General features: G+C 46.9%; 1 protein-coding gene, 1 long non-coding RNA gene and 1 pseudogene across 7 annotated transcripts in view; 1 reads left to right on the top strand and 2 right to left on the bottom strand.

Annotated features, from left to right (window-relative positions):
- The window catches only part of CNPY3-GNMT (CNPY3-GNMT readthrough), a 34,401-nt gene that overhangs the window by 4,731 nt on the left and 9,927 nt on the right, over positions 1-19,743 (bottom strand). The window lies entirely within an intron of this gene.
- On the top strand, positions 2,384-2,816 carry RPL24P4 (RPL24 pseudogene 4; annotated as a pseudogene).
- LINC02976 (long intergenic non-protein coding RNA 2976) lies at positions 10,790-18,657 on the bottom strand. Its single transcript, NR_186646.1, has 5 exons — positions 18,544-18,657; positions 18,221-18,377; positions 17,535-17,640; positions 15,180-15,352; positions 10,790-11,542 (listed from the first exon to the last, which is right to left on the bottom strand). It is a non-coding gene; the product is annotated as a long intergenic non-protein coding RNA 2976 (long non-coding RNA).

Genomic DNA, 19,743 nt, shown 5'->3' with positions numbered 1-19,743 from the left:
TGAGCCACAGCGCCCGGTCTGTGCTACTCTTCTAAGCAGGGGGCCTGGTTAACGGGTGATGCTCTCCTTTGGTACTGTTTGGCCCCAGTGCTCCTTGGAGCCTGGGGAGGTTTAGCCTTTAAAAATCAAACTGTCCAGCACTTTAGGAAGCCAAGACAGGTGGATCACGTGGTCAGGAGTTCAAGATCAGCCTGGCCAAGATGCTAAAACCCTGTCTCTACTAAAAATACAAAAATTAGCCAGGCATGGTGGCACGTGCCTGTAATCCCAGCTACTTGGGAGGCTAAGCCAGGAGAATCGCTTGAACCCGGGTGGCAGAGGTTGCAGTGAGCCAAGATTGCGCCACTGCACTCCAGCCTGGGCGACAGAGCAAGACTCCGTCTCAAAACAAAAATCAATCAATCAATCAAACTACTTTGGCCGGGCACGGTGGCTCACACCTATAATCCCAACACTTTGGGAGGCTGAGGCAGGCAGATCAACTGAGGTTGAGAGTTCAAGACTAGCCTGACCAACATGGAGAAGCCCCGTCTCTACTAAAAATACAAAATTAGCCGGGCATGGTGGTGCATGCCTGTAATCCCAGCTACTTGGGAGGCTGAGGCAGGAGAATCGCTTGAATCTGGGAGGCGGAGGTTGCGATGAGCCAAGATTGCGCTATTGCACTCCAGCCTGGGCAACAAGAGAGAAACTCTGTCTCAAAAAATAAATAAATATAAATAAAAATAAAACTGCCATGGAGACTGCTTTACCCAAAATTTTGGTTCACAGCCTTCCCTGCATTATCCATTAGGGCAAAGTAAAACCTTCAAGCTTGTACTGCCATCTCATGGCTAACGTTCCAGGTCATCGTTTATGTGTGCATATACATGTCTAGATGTATTTACTTATATGTACACTTACTGCTATATGTTGTGTCTACCAAATTGACTTATAAGTAAAAGAGGGCTCCGCCAGGCGCAGTGGCTCACGCCTGTAATCCCAATACTTGGGGAGGCTGAGGTGGATCATGAGCTCAGGAATTCGAGACCAGCCTGACCAACATGGCGAAACCCTGTCTCTACTAAAAATACAAAAATTAGCCAGGCGTGGTGGTGGGCACCTGTAATCCCAACTACTTGGGAGACTGAGGCAGGAGAATTGCTTGAACTCAGGAGGTGGAGGTTGCAGTGAGCTGAGGTCGTGCCATTGCACTCCAGCCTGGGCAACAGAGCGAGACTCCTGTCTCAAAAAAAAAAAAAAAAAAAAAAGAGGGCTTAAGTAATTAAGTAAATACGTCTAAGCAATTTTCAAGTCCACTTAAGTATAACTTTACTAAACTAGCCAGCTTTAAAATTATTGGGGGAATAAAAATAAAAAGGCCTTCAGATTTGTCAGCATAGGTTTTGTCTAAATTTTATGTTTGTCTTTGCTAGATATTTTAAAATGTCAGTGTTAATTCAAGCTGAGAGCTTGGGGAGAGCCTGCCTCCATTGAGATAAATGCATATCTGATTGCTTCCTTTGGAGAGACTAATCAGAAACTCAAAAGAACGCAACCCTTTGTCTCCCACCTGTGATCTGAAAGCCCCCAAGCCTCCTCACCTCCAGTTGTCCCATCTTTCTGGACCAAAACAATGTTTGTTTTACATATGGTTTAGTTTTTGTTTTTTCAGATGGAGTCTCCCTCTGTCGCCCAGGCTGGAATGAGTGGTGCCATCTCGGCTCACTGCAACCTCCGCCTCCTGGGTTCAAGTTGCCAGAAATGCTTGTTCCCTGGAGGCTGGGTGCGGTGGCTCATGCCTGTAATCCCAGCACTTTGGGAGGTCGAGGTAGGCAGAACACCTGAGGTAGGGAGTTCAAGACCAGCCTGACCAACATGGAGAAACCCCGTCTCTACTAAAAATGCAAAAAATTAGCTGGGCGTGGTGGCGCCTGCCTGTAATCCTAGCAAATCAGGAGGCTGAGGCAGGAGAATCGCTTGAACCTGCGAGGGGGAGGTTGCGGTGAACCGAGATCACACCATTGCACTCCAGCCTGGGCAACAAGAATGAAACTCCGTTTCAAAAAAAAAATTGGCCGGGCACAGTGGCTCACGCCTGTAATCCCAACACTTTGGGAGGCCGAAGCGGGCAGATCACGAGGTCAGGAGATTGAGACCATTCTGGCTAACGCGGTGAAACCCCGTCTCTAATAAGAATACAAAAAAAAAAATTTATCTGGGTGTGGTGGCACGCGCCTGATATCCCAGCTACTCAGGAGGCTGAGGCAGGAGAATGGTGTGAACTCGGGAGGCAGAGCTTGCACTGAGCCGAGATCGCGCCACTGCACTCCAGCCTGGGTGACAGAGCGAGACTCCATCTCAAAAAAATAAATAAATAAATTTTTTAAAAAATTAAAAAAGACTTTTCGCCATCTTTTGTCTTTCTGTGGAGCTGTCGCCATGAAGGTCGAGCTGTGCAGTTTTAGCGGGTACAAGATCTACCCCGGACACGGGAGGCGCTACGCCAGGACCGACGGGAAGGTTTTCCAGTTTCTTAATGCGAAATGCGAGTTGGCGTTCCTTTCCAAGAGGAATCCTCGGCAGATAAACTGGACTGTCCTCTACAGAAGGAAGCACAAAAAGGGGCAGTCGGAAGAAATTCAAAAGAAAAGAACCCGCCGAGCAGTCAAATTCCAGAGGGCCATTACTGGTGCATCTCTTGCTGATATAACGGCCAAGAGGAATCAGAAACCTGAAGTTAGAAAGACTCGACGAGAACAAGCTATCAGGGCTGCTAAGGAAGCAAAAAAGGCTAAGCAAGCATCTAAAAAGACTGCAATGGCTGCTGCTAAGGCTGGAGTGCAATGGCACGATCTCGGCTCACCGCAACCTCTGCCTCCTGGGTTCAAGCGGTTCTCCTGCCTCAGCCTCCCAAGTGGCTGGGATTACAGGCATGTGCCACCATGCCTGGCTGGTTTTGTATTTTTAGTAGAGGTGTGGTTTCTTCATGGGCAGGCTGGTCTCAAACTCCCGACCTCAGGTGATCTGCCTGCCTCGGCCTCCCAAAGTGCTGGGATTGCAGGCGTGCACCACCACGCCCAGCCTGAGATTTATATATTTAAGATGTGATAAAATAGTAGTAATCAAAACTTACATGTGAAGAATAGGCTTCTACTTCTACAGAAAGGTCATTTTTACCTGCCAACCTGTGCCAAGTTGCAAGGATGCAACTGGACAAATCAGAGTCCTCTTTAGGGAAACATGATTTTACACAGAATACTAGGTGAGGGTATATAGTCAATGTCAACATTCTCCTCCATCACTATCCTATCCAAGGTGATAGAATTTTTTTTTTCAAGTGCATGTTACATTCAGACGTCCAAGTGTTACAGGTAAAATGAGTAAGTCCTTTTGAGAACCTGAAAATGTAAAAATCAATATAAGAAATACGTAGGCCGGGCGCGGTGGCTCACGCCTGTAATCCCAGCACTTTGGGAGGCCGAGGTGGGCGGATCACGAGGTCGGGAGATCGAGACCATCCTGGCTAACACGGTGAAACCCCGTCTTTACTGAGAATACAAAAAATTAGCCGGGCGTGGTGGCGGGCGCCTGTGGTCCCAGCTGCTTGGGAGGCTGAGGCAGGAGAATGGTGTGAACCCTGGGGGACGGAGCCTGCGGTGAGCCGAGATCGCGCCGCTGCACCCCAACCTGGGCGACAGCGAGACTCCGTCTCAAAAAAAAAATATGTAAAATACAGGCTTTTGCTCATAAAAGCAAAATGTTAAGATTTTGCACTGGGAAGAGTCATTTTTTGTAATAATGTTTTATTTAGGGAATTACTGGGAAAATAAAGTCATTATACCCAACTTGAATGTAAAGCTATGCTTGCTAATTTTTGGAGAATAAAATGTCTGGGCTAAATGTTGGCTTTTAATAAAGTGGAGCTGCCCATTGTCATTACCCTTGGGTCTTAGGTAACCTGGAACCCAGAAGAAGCTAGAAATAAACACTACCTGTTCTCACTACAACAAGTTTAGCTTTACTCAGGAAGACAATTTGACCACTGGGAAAGCATTTTATTAAAACGTTTGTTTCTATTGGCCCAAAGGATAATGCGTGCATCAGTAGGCTTCTCAGTGCTTACAGGTGGTGTTTTGGCAAAAACTGAGTGGAGGGATTTTTTTAACTCTTCTACAACCTAGATGTATTGTTTGCAGATTTGAATGTATTCACTTAATATATTAAATGTTTAATATTAAATATAAAAAAAATTAAAAAAGAAATGCTTGTTCCCCAGTGCCGTAAAGAAATAGCACTTGAACATAAATTCAATTTCCTCAGGAAGGCCATTTTTACTTTCTGCAGAAAGGGTACCCTCGTCAGCAGTTTTGCCATGAGAGTACACTGAACAAAGGAGACAGGGTCATTTATAACCTGACGCGTCCACCCTACTGCTGTGTCCGGTTTCCATTGGCTGGAATGGGACTTCACATTTTGTATTTGTCCCGATTGGCTAGCAACTTAGAACTTTTAAAAGAGGCAAAGGCAGAGGAGAACAAAGGAAGGGGAAGTAACTTGTGGAATGCTGAGAAAGGTAAAAACACCTTCAAATAAGGATGAGGAACAGGCTATGACCTAATGTTTGTTTGGACCAGTATAAGCATGCCAGGGCAAATATTTAGGCTACATTGTGGGAGCTAAGAACATAAAGGACATTGATTTCTTTATTATGACTTGCAGATATTTAAGAATGTCACCACAGATCTTTGAATAAATTTTGCTTCTAAGAGAAGTTACTATTTATCCCTAATTAGATGGGGAGGAAAGTCTTTGAAGAGGAACCTCTACTTTTTATAATAGCGATTCTCCTACCTCAGCCTCCCAAGTATACAGGTGCTCGCCACCACATCAGGCTAATTTTTATATTTTTAGTAGAGACGGGGTTTCACCATGTTGGACAAGCTGCTTTCTAACTCCTGATCTCAGGTGATCCGCCCGCCTCAGCCTCCCAAAGTGCTGGGATCACAGGCGTGAGCCACTGCGCCTGACCGAGGATGGCATCTTTGATGTAAATAAGCTTTTCCCAAATTCACAGATTAAGACTTCTACTGTCATAAAACTCTTATCTTTCAATATTTGTTCTTGCTTATGCCTCTATGAACAATAAAAGTGGAAAAGGCATCTGTTATGTGCACTAATGGGATGTACTTTTATTTGTGAAGGAGTTTGCAGCCAACCTTATATATGGATAACTTTATACTTTAATAGATAAAAAATGAAGGCCCAGTGCAGGTAAAAAACTTTAATGGGGCCAGGCACGGTGGCTTATGCCTGTAATCCCAGCACTTTGGGAGGCCGAGGCAGGTGGATCACCTGAAGTCAGGAGGTTGAGACCAGTCTAGCCAATGTGGTGAAACCCCATCTCTACTAAAAAAATATATATATATATATACATAAAAATTAGCTGGGCATGGTGGTGCACCTGTAATCCCAGCTACTCGGGAGGCTGAGGCATGAGAATCGCTTGAACCCGGGAGGCAGAGGTTGCAGTGAGCCAAGATGGTGCCATTGCACTCTAGCCTGGGCAACAAAAGCGAAACTTCGTCTCAAAAAAAAAAAAGTATCCCTCATGATGGGTTCTATAGCAAATTCTACTGTAAAGGCTACAGTTATACAATAGACTTTAAATTCTCTTGTGAAAGTTAAGATAGAATTGGCTAAACAGAGAAGTATCTGTGCAGCTGCTGGCACTTGTGGCCTACGGAGAAATACATCACATGAAGATTATAGAAATATAGTGGTAGGGGATTAACAAAGAGACTGCTTAGTCAAATGAGTAAACTTTTTTTTTTTTTTGAGACGGAGTTTTGCTCTTGTTGCCCAGGCTGGAGTGCAATGGCACGATCTCGGCTCACCGCAACCTCTGCCTCCCGGGTTCAAGCGATTCTCCTGCCTCAGCCTCCCGAGTAGCTGGGACTACAGGCATGCACCACCATGCCTGGCTAATTTTGTGTTTTTAGTAGAGACGGGGTTTCACCATGTTGGTCAGGCTGGTCTTGAACTCCCGACCTCAGGTGATCTGCCCATCTCGGCCTCCCAAAGTGCTGGGATTACAGACATGAGCCACCACGCCCGGCCATGAGTAAACTCTTTATCTAGTTCATTCTTTGATCTATGTGATTTTAGGTGGTTTGGTTTATGGGGAACCTGGGTAAGGAGCATACTCCAAACTCTTGGTATCATCCTCCCGATAGTCATAATAATAGTCTCCCTGGTGCGCTCTATTCTCTCAAAGGTTTTAAATGCTTGCGTGCAGCCATCTCTAGAATGTCAAATGGTCTCTCTTCAACTGGAATAACAGGAGCTAAAAAAATGTGCAACCATAAGGACACTATAAGCTATAAATGATGTGCTGAGATAGGAAACCCAAAATGATGGTAACTGAGAGTGGCGCTAAGTCCCTAAGGTTTGGTCACACTCTCACTTAAATGACAGCCTAACCAAAAAGGGTAATTTTTTAAACAAAATTATGGAAGGCCATTGTTTTGGACTAGGCTCATGCACTAGGCCTCAACAAACCAAACCAAAATGGAGTCGCTCATGCTAGGACTTTAAGGAAACACATAGATTCTAAAACAGACCAAGTTTTTTTTCTCCTGCAAATCTCTATGACAAACCTTTCTTTTTTTTTTTTTCTGAGACGGAGTCTCACTCCCTCGCCCCCAGACTGGAGTGCAGTGGCTCAATCTCAGCTTATTGCAACCTCCACCTCCCAGGTTCAAGCAACATTCCTGCCTCAGCCTCCTGAGTAGCTAGGATTACAGGCATGCACCACCCCGCCCGGCTAATTTTTTTGTATTTAGTAGAGACAGGGTTTCACTATGTTGGCCAGGCTGATCCTGAACTCCTGACCTCGTGATCTGCCTGCCTCGGCCTCCCAAAGTGCTGGGATTACAGACGTAAGCCACTGCGCCTGGTCAATATAACAAACATTTCTAACAGCATAGGTATCCACCCCCTGCAGTTCCCATTAAATGTTTTAACCAAATTCATTTCCTCTTGCCTAGAGACCATCAAGCTTCAGCTGATCATGCAACAAAGCTTCCAGCCAGTTCCAGGTGAAGACATCACCCCTGGCCATCAAAAAGCTACCCTGCCTCCACTAGACAGAGCAGGGTGAGAGTTCCATGATCCCTAATAGGTGGGGACCATCCCCCAAGCCAGCATGAAGCAGTTACAGAAAAAAGACCATCTGTCCCTCTGCCTCCCATAAAGATTTATGGGGATCACATCTCAGGGGGCAGATGAGGCAGGAAAATAGGGTCTGGAGGCAGGTAACATAAGGCCAATTCACACTTCATCTATAACAGGAAATATCCTCTCCTTAGGGCATACATCATTAATAACTTTGCAATTGTAACTTTACTTCATCTTCTTCATTTACATAGGGCATTCCCCAAGTAGAGGGTATTTAAACTCACAAACATTTTTAACAGGGCCTTTGAGCCCCTATGCTCATTCTCGCTCCCACACTGTGGAGTGTACTTTCATTGTCTTTTTTTTTTTTTTTTTTTTTGGGATGGAGTCTCGCTCTGTCGCCCAGGCTGGAGTGCAGTGGCGCAATCTTGGCTCACTGCAACCTCCACCTCCTGGGTTCACACCATTCTGCCTCAGTCTCCCAAGTAGCTGGGACTACAGGTGCCCACCACCACGCCTGGCTAATTTTTTTGTATTTTTAGTAGAGATGGGGTTTCACCGTGTTAGCCAGGATGGTCTCAATCTCCTGATCTTGTGATCGGCCCGCCTCAGCCTCCCAAAGTGCTGGGATTACAGGCGTGAGCCACCGCGCCCGGCTCATTTTCAATAAAACCCTTCATTCCTTCCTTGTTTGTGCATTTTGTCCAATTGTTCGTTCAAGATGCCAAGAACCTGGACACCCTCCACCATTAACACATGGACAAAGTCCAGGGCCGGGAATGGGGGTGCTTGGTGTCCTTGCTATTCTTTATTTTTTTTTGAGATGGAGTTTCGCTCTTGTTGCCCAGGCTGGAGTGCAATGGCACGATCTTGGCTCACTGCAAACTCCACCTCCTGGGTTCAGGCGATTCTCCTGCCTCAGCCTCCCAAGTAGCTGGGATTACAGGCATGCACCACCACACCCAGCTAATTTTTTTGTATCTGATCCTACAGATGCATCTTTGGCAACAGGTTTAGAAAGCCTGGATTGGGGCCGGGCATGGTGGCTTATGCCTGTAATCCCAGCATTTTGGGAGGCTGAGGCGGACGGATCACCTGAGGTCAGGAGTTTGAGACCAGCCTGGCCAACATGGTGAAACATCATCTCTACTAAAAAATACAAAAATTAGCTGGGCGTGGTAGCAGGCACCTGTAATCCTAGCTACTCAGAAGGCTAAGGCAGGGAGATTTGCTTGAACCTGGGAAGCAGAGGTTGCAGTGAGCTGAGATTGTGCCACCGCACTCCAGCCTAGGTGACAGAGTGAGACTTTGTCTAAAAAAAAAAAAAAAAAGCCTGAATTGGAGAATTATAAGTAAATCCACTCTTTATTTTACAGAATATTCTGGGGAAAATTTACTCCACTACCCTTAGATTTTTTTTTTTTTTAATCTCATGTTAATTATCTTGTCTGGGCATGGTGGCTCATACCTGTAATCCCAGCACTTTGGGAGGCCGAGGGGGGCAGATCACTTGAGGTCAAGAGTTCCAGACCACCCTGGCCAACATGGCAAAGCCCTATCTCTACTAAAAATACAAAAAAATTAGCCGGGCGTGGTGGCACGCGGCTGTAGTCCCAGCTACTTGGGAGGGTGTGGCACAAGAATCACTTGAACCGAGGCGGCAGAGGTTGCAGTGAGCTGAGATCAAGCCACTGCACTGCAGCCTGGGTGACAGAGTAAGATTCCGTCAAGTGATTCTCCTGCCTCAGCCTCCTAAGTAGCTGGGATTACAGGCATGCGCCAACACACCCAGCTAATTTTTTTGTATTTTCAGTAGAGATGGCGTTTCACCATGTTGGCCAGGCTGGTCTCGAACTCCTGACCTCGTGATCCGCCTGCCTCGCTTCCCAAAGTGCTAGGATTACAGGCTTGAGCCACCTTGCCCGGCCTTAAAAATGCATGCTTGGTCAGGAGCGGTGGCTGAGACCTGTAATCCCAGCACTTTTGGGGGCCGAGGTGGGCAGATCACTTGAGGTCAGGAGTTGGAGACCAGCCTGGCCAACATGGTGAAACCCTGTCTCTATTGAAAAGACAAAAATTAGCTGGGCGTGGTGGCAGGCGCCTGTAATCCCAACTACTTGGGAGGCTGAGGCAGGAGAATCGCTTGAACCCAGGAGGCAGAGGCTGCAGTGAGCCGAGATTGTGCCACTGTACTCCAGCCTGGATGACTGAGGGAGACTCTGCCTCAAATAAAAAAAAAAAAAGAAAAAGAAAAAGAAAAAGAAAAAAAGTCTGGAGAATGAAGAGTGATTGGAATAATAACCAAGATGATACGGGAATAATTTCTTTGTCACTGTCTACAAATAGATTGGCTATATATACAATATTTGAAATGTTAAGTGGCTTATGGCAGTTTATTATTTTTCCCTTTATTATTACTTTCTTTTCCATTTGCTTTGTGTGGGAAAGGAATGCTGAAGGAGGTAGTAGGGTCACTCCTTTTTAAAATTTAATTTTTTTTTTTTTAAAACAGGGTCTTGCTTTGTCGCCTAGGCTGGAACACAGTGGTGTGATCATAGCTCACTGCAGCCTCGAACTTGCAGGCTCAAGCGATCTTCCCACCTCAGCCTCTTGAGTAGTTGCCATTATGGGGGTGCGCCACCATGCCTGGCTAATTTTTTTTTTTTGGTATGTCTGTGTCACTCAAGCTTGTCTCCAACTCCTGGGCTCAAGTGATCCTCTTGCCTCAGCCTCCCAAAGTGCTGGGATTACAGGCATAAACCACCTCACCCGGCGTGTTTGAACTCTTCTTTACATATTATTCGTTGATATTTCATTAGGTAGAATATTGTATCTAATTATATCTATTATATCTTCTTTAATTATTGCCAAAATATACCAAATAATTGCAATCCTTCATCTACAAATTGTCCATGTCCTGCCCACTAAAATATATTAAAACTGCTTTTTATTTTACTTAATTCGTCTCTATAAATTTTATTTTATTTTTGTAGAGACAGTCTCACTTTGTTATCCAGGCTGGTCTCAAACTCCTGGGCTCAAGCAATCCACCTGCCTCGGTTTCCCAAAGTACTGGGATTACAGGCATGACCACCATGCCTGGCCATCTCTCTGTAAATTTTAGATGCCCTGGGCCATGGAAAAGATCACAGAATATAAATCAATTTACTGTTTGACTTCACTGAAAATAAGAATAGGTCCAGCCTGGCCAACATGGTGAAATCCTGTCTCTACTGAAAATACAAAAATTAGCCGGGTGTGGTGGCACACACCTGTAATCAGCTACTCAGGAAGCTGAGGCAGGAGAATCACTTGAACCTGGAAGGTGGAGGTTGCAGTGAGCCAAGATCGCGCCACTGCACTTCCCTGGGCAACAGAGTGAGACTCCATCTCAAAAAAAGAAAAAAGAAAAGAAAAGAAGAACAGGTGATATTTTAAATGTGGGACACATTATTTGGAATTGGCTGAAAAGACTAAATTCTTCATTCCTAAATGTGTGACATGTTTGCAAAAAGACTTCATCTTGGGAATGTGGCTGTAACTGGACAAACTCCAAGTCCTATTTGAGGACACATTAAAATCCTGCAATTGTGAATTATGTAGATACAATAACTGCGAATGGGAGACATCCTGGTTGTTTTGGTGTTTTTTATTTTTATTTGCTTTTTAGAGATGAGGGTCTCACTGTGTTGCTCAGGCTGGACTGGAACTCCTGGGCTCAAGTGATCCTCTCAAGTCACTTCCCAAGTAGCTGGGACTACAGGTGTGTACTGCACATGGCTTGTTTTGTTTTGATTCAGAACAGGCAGAAATTCATTTTTCCAGTGATGACTGCCAAATTCCAAACTCTAGTCCAAGCCATTGCATAAAAATTCTTCTCTGCTAATTGGATCTACCCCAGACTGAACATTGAAACACTTGAGGAGTGGTGCTAGCAGATCCACCCACCCACTTGGATCTCCTAGCAGAATTATCAAAGCAGATCCTTTTTTGGACTTTTAAGAAAGTCCTGTTAGTTGTCAAATAGGTCTCTATATCAGTGGGTCGTAACACTAATAATGGCAACATTACTATTAAGCGTAGTGTTATCAGTGAGTACTCCACTGATGTGTAAGAAGAGAGGTTCTCCCGAAAAGCCCTGAATTCACCACTACACACTCTATGCATGTAACAAAACGATACTTTTGCCCTATACATTTATACAAATAGAAAACTTAAAAAAAAAGAGAGGTTATTTTTACCATTTCACACTTTATTAAAAGCAGGGTTTTGGCCGGGCGCGGTGGCTCACGTCTGTAATCCCAGCACTTTGGGAGGCCAAGGCGGACGGATCACGAGGTCAGGAGATCGAGACCATCCTGGCTAACATGGTGAAACTCCGTCTCTACTAAAAATACAAAAAATTAGCTGGGCGTGGTGGCAGGTGCCTGTAGTCCCAGCTACTCAGGAGGCTGTGGCAGGAGAATGGCGTGAACCCAGGAGGCGGAGCTTGCAGTGAGCCAAGATCGCACCACTGCACTCCAGCCTGGGCGATGGAGCGAGACTCTGTCTCATAAAAAAAAAAAGCAGGGTTTTCTTTCTTTTTTTTTTGAGACAGGGTCTCAAAAAACAGGCTGGAGTGCAGTGGTGTGATCACAGATGCTCACTGCAGCCTCGACCTCCCAGGCTCAAGTGATCCTCCCACCTCAGCCTCCTGAGTAGCTGGGATCACACATAGCTATTTTTTTTTTTTTTAGTAGAGATGAGGTCTCACTATGCTGCCCAGGCTGGTCCCAAACTGCTGGGAATACAGGTGTGAGCTACTGTTCCTGGCTGTTAAAAGCAGTTTTAGCCAGGCACAGTGGCTCACGCCTGTAATCCCAGCACTTTGGGAGGCTGAGGCGGGTGGATCACGAAGTCAGGAGTTCGAGACCAGCCTGGCCAATATGGTGAAACCCCATCTCTACTAAAAAATACAAAAATTAGCCAGGCATGGTGGTGCGTGCCTGTAGGTCTCAGCTACTTGGGAGGCGGAGGTTGCAGAGAGCCTAGATCGTACTACTACACTCCAGCCTAAGTGACAGAGTGAGACTCCATCTCAAAAGAAAAAAAAAAAAAGGCGGTTTTAAGGAGTGCTAACCTCCAGTAAGATCTCTTCAGTACACACAGATCTGTTCACTGAGCTATTATTATTCAACATAAATATGATATGCTATTTCAGGCCCTGATAACAGGCTAAACATTGCTTATTGAAACAGGTGACGTAGCACACGCCATTACATCTAAAACACCAAGACTGGGTTGGTGAGTCCAGGTTACCCTTGAACAACTTGGGGGTTAGAGGCCCTGACTCCCCACACAGTTGAAAATCCATGTGTAACTTTTTGTTTTTTGTTTTTTTTTTTTTTTTGAGACAGGGTCTTGTTCTGTTAACCAGGCTAGGGTGCAATGGCATGATCTCAGCTCACGGAAACCTCCGCCTCCTGTGCTCAAGTGATCCTCCCATCTCAGCCTCTCAAGTAGCTGAGACCACAGGAATGCACCACCGTGCCTGGCTAATTTTTCTATTTTTTTGTAGAGATGGGGTTTCGCCATGTTGCCCAGGCTGGTCTCAAACTCCTGAGTTCAAGCGATCTGCCTGCCTCAGCCTTTCAAAATGCTGGGACTACAGGCGTGACCCACTGTGTCTGGCCCCCATGTATAACTTCTGACTCCCCAAAAACTCGATTACTAATAACTTACTATGGACCAGAACCCTTACCTATAACATAAAGTCGATAATACATATCTTTTTTTTGAGAGACAGACCAAGTCTCACTCTGTTGCCCAGGCTGAAGTGCAGTGGTGTGATCTCGCCTTACTGCAGCCTCTGCCTCTCGGGTTCAAGCGATTCTTCTGCCTCAGCCTCCTGAGTAGCTGGGATTACAGGCGTGCACCAGCACATAGGCTAATTTTTGTATTTTTAGTAGAGACGGGGTTTCACCATGTTGGCCAGGCTAGTCTTGAACTCCTGACCTCAGGTGATCTGTCCGCCTCGGCTTCCCAAAGTGCTGGGATTACAGGGGTGAGCTACCATGCCAGGCCAATAACACATAGCTTGTATGCGTATTATATAGTGTAATCTTACATTAAAGCTATAGAGGCCAGGCGCAGTGGCTCACGCCTGTAATCCCAGCACTTTGGGAAGCTGAGGTGGGCGGATCACGAGGTCAGGAGATCGAGACCATCCTGGCTAACATGGTGAAACCCTGTCTCTACTAAAAATACAAAAAATTAGCGGGCGTGGTGGCAGGCGCCTGTAGTCCCAGCTACTCGGGAGGCTGAGGCAGGAGAATGGTGTGAACCCAAGGAGGCGGAGCTTGCAGTAAGCCGAGAACGTGCCACTGCACTCCAGCCTGGGAGACAGAGCAAGACTCCGTCTCAAAAAAAAAAAAAAAAAAGCCAGATTGCCATTGACCCTCAAACACACAACATGGAGCTGAACTATGTGGGCCCACATATATGTGGATTTTCTCCTGTCTCTGCCACCCCGAGACTTCAAAATCAGCTTCTCCCAAGATGAGAAGGATGAAGACCTTAAGATGATCCACTTCCACTTAACGAACAGTAAATATATTTTTCTTATGACCTTCTTAGTAACATTTTTTCTGTAGCTTTTTTTTTTTTTGAGACGGAGTCTCGCTCTGTCGCCCAGGCTGGAGTCAGTAGTGCGATCTCGGCTCACCGCAAGGTCCGCCTCCCGGGTTCACGCCTTTCTCCTGCCTCAGCCTCCGGAGCAGCTGGGACTACAGGCGCCCGCCACCACGCCCGGCTAATTTTTTTTTTTTTTGTATTTTTAGTAGAGACGGAGTTTCACCGTGTTAGCCAGGATGATCTGGATCTCCCGACCTCGTGATCCACCCACCTCAGCCTCCCAAAGTGCTGGGATTACAGGCGTGAGCCACCATGCCCAGCCAATATGGCTTTTTAATGTCTTTTTTGGGCAATCTTTTCCACTTAGGGGCAGTTGGTGCTAATACATATTGCTATTACCAGAGCTGGCAGTAGGGTCCATCTCATTGAAACAAGTGACTTAGCATGGACCCATATATATCTGTCATAAAAAATAGGCTTTTCTTTCAAGATCAAAAAATAAGGGGAATTTTGTTCATATTTGGGAACTATAGTGATGCAGGGCTGCGGTCAACATCTGGACAGCATAAGTCTCCACACTAGAGGGGAGTGTGGGGCTCCCATTCACAGGACAAACCCCATGGGTTTGTAGATTTAAGATGATAATTTTCTGGCAGGCATTCAGTGAAGTGTCTTTTCCTAACAAATGTAATTAAAACAATTTTCTTTTTTTTTTTTTTTGGAGACGGAGTCTCATTCTGTCACCCAGGCTGGAGTGCAGTGGCAGGAGGTTCAAGCAATTCTCCTGCCTCAGCCTCCCAAGTAGCTGGGATTACAGGCGCATGCCACCACACCAGGCTAATTTTTGTATTTTAGTAGAGACGGGGTTTCACCAAGTTGGCCAGGCTGGTCTCAAACTCCTGACCTCAGGTGATCCACCCGCCTCAGCCTCCCAAAGAGATGGGATTACAGGTGTGAGACCCCACACCCGGCAAAACAATTTTCTGACAGATGGAAGTTAAAGGTGTGAAGAGCACCTTTTCCTAACTTGCATAAAGATCTATGGAAATGCCACCCAGCAGTCTCAAAGTAAGGAGAGGAGCCTGCCTCCTAGGACCTGCCCTTTCAAATGAATATGGAAGCCCTGATGTAGCACTCGTGAGATTTTACTGTCTGAGCATGTTTTGTTGTTGTTTGGTTTCAGACAGAGTCTTGCCTGTTGCCCAGGCTGGAGTGCAATGGCATGATCTCGGCTCACTGCAACCTCTGCCTCCTGGGTTCGAGTCATTCTTCTGCCTCAGCCTCCTGAATAGCTGGGATTACAGGCGTGAGCCACCACGCCTGGCTAATTTTTTGTATCTTTAGTAGAGACGGGGTTTCACCATATTGGCCAGGCTGGTCTCAAACTCCTGATCTCGTGATCCACCCACCTCGGGCTCCCAAAGTGCTGGGATTACAGGCGTGAGCCACCGTGCCTGGTCATCTGTGGTTCTTTTAATCATTGAACTGGAACAAACTGGCCTTGTGGTCTGTCCATCAGCCCTCGTGGTTCTAGTTGATGGAAGTCTTCAACAGAGATGGAGCCATTCTGCTGTTTGTGTTTCTGAGGACAAGACATTGACCCACTGTAAATTCACTGAAGTCCTGCCCCATCTTAGGACAACACCCTGGGTTTATCTTGGTGAAGTGAGTTCTAGCTGCCTCCTCTTAAGGACCGTGAGAGATGTTTGCTAAGCATGCAGACTCCCAGGTCTCAACCCAGCAAGTCTGAGGCAAACCCAGACATCTGTATGTTTAACAAGTATTCTAGGTGACTCTCATGTCCAGGTGAGTTAAGTTTAGAATCTTGTTCTAATGAGGCTTCTGACAGGAAGACGGAAATCAGGTTAACTTGAGTGCAGGCAGTACCCTTACCTGATTATACTTGTGCCCTATAAATTTATATAAATAGAAAACTTTTAAAAACAGAGGTTCTTTTTATAATTTCACACTTTATTACGAGCAGGTTTTTTGTCTCATTTTGTTTTTTGAGACAGGGTCTCAGTCTGTTACTCAGGCTGGAGTGCAGTGATGTGATCAGCCTAAGTCTCCACACTTAAGTGGAGTGCAAATGGGAGACATCCTGGTTGTTTTGGTGTTTTTTTTGTTTTTATTCGCTTTTTAGAGATGAGGGTCTCACTGTGTTGCTCAGGCTGGACTGGAACTCCTGGGCTCAAGTGATCCTCTCAAGCCACCTCCCAAGTAGCTGGGACTACAGGCATGCACTGCACATGGCTTGTGTTTTGATTCAGAACAGGTAGAAATTCATCTATATGAATTTCTGTATATCAGGTAGATTAATTTCTGCCTGTTCTGAATCAAAACAAAAACAAGCCATGGATGGGAAGGGGTATAGGAAAGTGGGAGGCAACGCCCAAGTTCGGAAAGGCTTGTGTGGTGGGGAGAAGAAAAGAAAAACCTGGGCTGGGCGCTAAGCCACACACCTGTAATTCCAAAACTTTGGGAGGCCGAGGTGGGGGGATTGCTGGAGCCCAGAAGTGTGAGACCAGCCTGGGCAACACAGCAAAACCCCGTCTCTACCAAAAAAAAAAAAAAAGGGAAAGAAAAAAACCCGGAAAGCCAGGTTTCCTGCATTCTGCCTTTCTAGGCAGGGCCAGAGTAAGCTGCTGCTGGGTGGGCTGCGTGAAAGCTAGTGAGTATGCAACAAGCCTGGCCCTTGGGAAGCAGTAACCACAGGTCAAAGAGCAAAGCAGTGACAACACTGCCTGCCCTCAAGACTGGGCCAGGGCCTGGGATTGGGCCACTGGGCCAACACCTCAGTAAGGAGTTTTTTTTATTTTTTTTTGAGATGGAGTCTCCCTCTGTCGCCCAGGCTGACCTCAGGTGAACCGCCCATCTCAGCCTCCCAAAGTGCCGGGATTACAGCCGTGAGCCACCACACCTGGCTTGGGGGTTAGATCTTTACCTTGTCCTACTTTAAAAATCAATGAGGCCAGGCATGGTGGCTCACACGTGTAATCCCAGCACTTTGGGAGGCCGAGATGGGAGGATTGCTTGAGTCCAGGAGTTTGAGACCAGCCTGGCCAACATGTGGAGACCCTGTTGCTACAAATTTTTTTTTTTTTTTGGTTGCGGGGGATGGAGTCTCACTCTGTCACCCAGGCTGGAGTGCAGTGGTGCAATCTCGGCTCACTGCAACCTCCGCCTCTTGGTTTCAAGCAATTGTCCTGCCTCAGCCTCCCAAATAAGAGGCTGAAACCACCCCAGGCCCAAAAAATAAATTAAAAATTAAAAAAATTATTGGCCGGGTACAGTGGCTCATACCTATAATCCTAGCACTCTGAGAGGCCGAGGTGGGTGAATCATCTGAGGTGAGGAGTTCGAGACCAGCCTGGCCATCATGGTGAAACCCCGTCTCTATTAAAAATACAAAAATTAGCCAGACGTGGTTGTGTGTGGCTGTAATCCCAGCTACTCGGGAGGCTGAAGCAGGATAATCACTTGAACCCAGGAGGAAGAGGTTGCAGTGAGACAAGATTGTGCCAGTGCACTCCAGCCTGGGTGACAGAGTGAGACTCTTGCAAACAAATAAAAAAGTATTTAAATAATTTTTTCTTTTTTTAGACACATGGTCTCACTATGTTGCCTAGGCTAGTCTCGAACTCCTGGGTTCAAGCGATCCTCCAGCCTTGGTCTCCCAAAGTGCTAGGATTACAGGTGTGAGCCTCCACACCTGGTATACAAAAAATAAGATGTTTAAATTAGCCAGGTACAGTGGTGCATACCTATGGTCCCAACTATTCAGGAGGATCACTTGAGCCTGAGAGGTTGAGGCCTGCAGTGAGTCATGATCACGCCACTGCACTCCAGCCTGGGTGACAAAGGGAGATCCTGTTCCAAAAAAGAAAGGTAGGGGAAAGGGTTAGGCATGGTAGTTCCTGCCTGTAATCCCAGCACTTTGGGAGGCCAAGGCAGGTGGATCACTTGAGGTCAGGAGTTCGAGAACAGCCTGGCCAACATGGGGAAACCCCGTCTCTACTGAAAATACAAAAATTAGCTGGGTGTGGTGGCGGTTGCCTGTAATCCCAGCTACTTGGGAGGCTGAAGCAGAGAATCACTTGAACCCAGGAGGCGGAGGTTGCAGTGAGCTGAGATTGTGACACTGCACTCCAGCCTGGGCAACAGAGTGAGACTCTGTCTCAAAAAAAAAAAAAAAAAGACTCAAAACAAAACAAAAAACAAAAAAAAAATCAATGAAGCTGTGGGGACAGAAGTAAGCCAGGCCTTGAAGTGCTGTTAGTGATAGAATGGGGGAATCAGAGGGTGGCCACCAAATCCTAGACAGTTCAGGGGGCAGGAAACACATCCCTGCCCTGGGTACCAGCCCCTCCACCTCACCCCCAGCCATTTTCTATGCTCAGAACAAAGTCCAGGACAAGACCTGCATCTAGACTGTAATCTCACTGCTCACCAGCTCCTTTAACAGGGGGAACATCAGTCCTGGAGATGCAGAGGTGGAGGCTGGACCAAGACAGTATCATTTTCCCAGGACCTGGCGTCATCCTCAACAGCTTAAGGAGAGACAGATTCCATTCTGTTCCACTCTCTATGGCCTTGGCTGCCCTAACCTGGTAGAGGGGGAGAGGCTGGGACCAGGCTATGAGGGGGCCCCTCACTCCCAGTTCAGCCCCCAGAGCCGCTGCAATGGACGCAGGGAGGCTTCAGCAGTGTATCCCTCCTACCCACTGGGCCTAGCCTGGAAGTGTGAGGTAGAGTTGCAGTGTGGGTGCTCACGGGAGATCTGGTGCGGGCACAGCTCCCCCAGGACTTGCTGCCATTCTTTCCTTCCAATAAGCCACAGCTGCTTCCTATTCGCCTTTTAGGAATCTTGGTGGTGGTTAGGCCAGGCGCAGTGGCTCCCACCTGTAATCCCAACACTTTGGGAAGCCGAGGCAGATGGATCATGAGGTCAGGAGTTCAAAACTATCCTGGCCAAGATGGTGAAACCCCGTCTCTACTACAAATACAAAAAAATTAGCTGGGCGTGGTGGCAGGTGCCTGTAATCCCAGCTACTCGGGAGGCTAAGGCAGAGAATTGCTTGAACCCGGGAGGCAGACGATGCAGTGAGCCAAGATCACACCACTGCACTCCAGCCTGGGCAACAGAGTGAGATTCCGCCTCAAAAAAACAAAACAAAACAAAACAAAACAAAAAGAATCTTGGTGGTGGTGACAGGTTAAGGCCAAGAAACTAAACCAGTTCGATACAACTCACACTGTCAGTGCCAGGGGTTGGGGGAAGAGGCCCTGGCAGCTGTGGAGAGTGGAAGTACCATGGATTTGTAATCTGAACGCCAGTGTCTGCGTCCCAGCTATACCACTCCTTAACAGCAGGACCTTGACTCCAAGGTCACCTGACTCCAAGCATATCACTTGACTCTAGCCTGTTTTCTCCTCTACACAATGAGGTTAACAGCACACCTCACAAGAGTGTGGTAATAGTAAAAGTTAAAGCATACAATTTGAATACATACAATTGTCATCACTACTGTACCAATTGCCCCGATCCCTGCCTTCAGGACAAACTGGGAGGTGCCTGAGCTTCCCCACCCCTTCTCCCTAGAGGCCAGCCTCTCTGCTCCTCCCTTGGCCCTGAGGAACATGGTGTGACCAGATGGTGTTGGGAACCGGGTGTCCTCCCAACTGCACTCCAGGTACAACAGCTAGGAACCTCAGAGTGATCAAGTGTGGTCATCAGAAAACAAGGTTCAGGACCAACAGTCAAGGCCAGGTGGAAGTAGGAACAGGGGCGGGAGCTGGCCAGGTAAACACTGCATTTTACACAACAAATGGGAGGCCTTGGGAAGAGGAGCAGCAGGAGAGAGGGAGGGAGGGAACGGCAGCCAGGTGTCCAGGACACGAGGGAGCAGCGTAAGGTCAGTGCACTGCCCTGGGCCTCATCCTATGCCCATGCCTCCCCTCACCCCAAGACAA

This window comes from Homo sapiens, chromosome 6 (genome assembly GCF_000001405.40).
Source record: "Homo sapiens chromosome 6, GRCh38.p14 Primary Assembly".
Lineage (NCBI taxonomy): Eukaryota > Metazoa > Chordata > Mammalia > Primates > Hominidae > Homo > Homo sapiens.
This window is presented reverse-complemented; position numbering and strand designations above follow the sequence as displayed.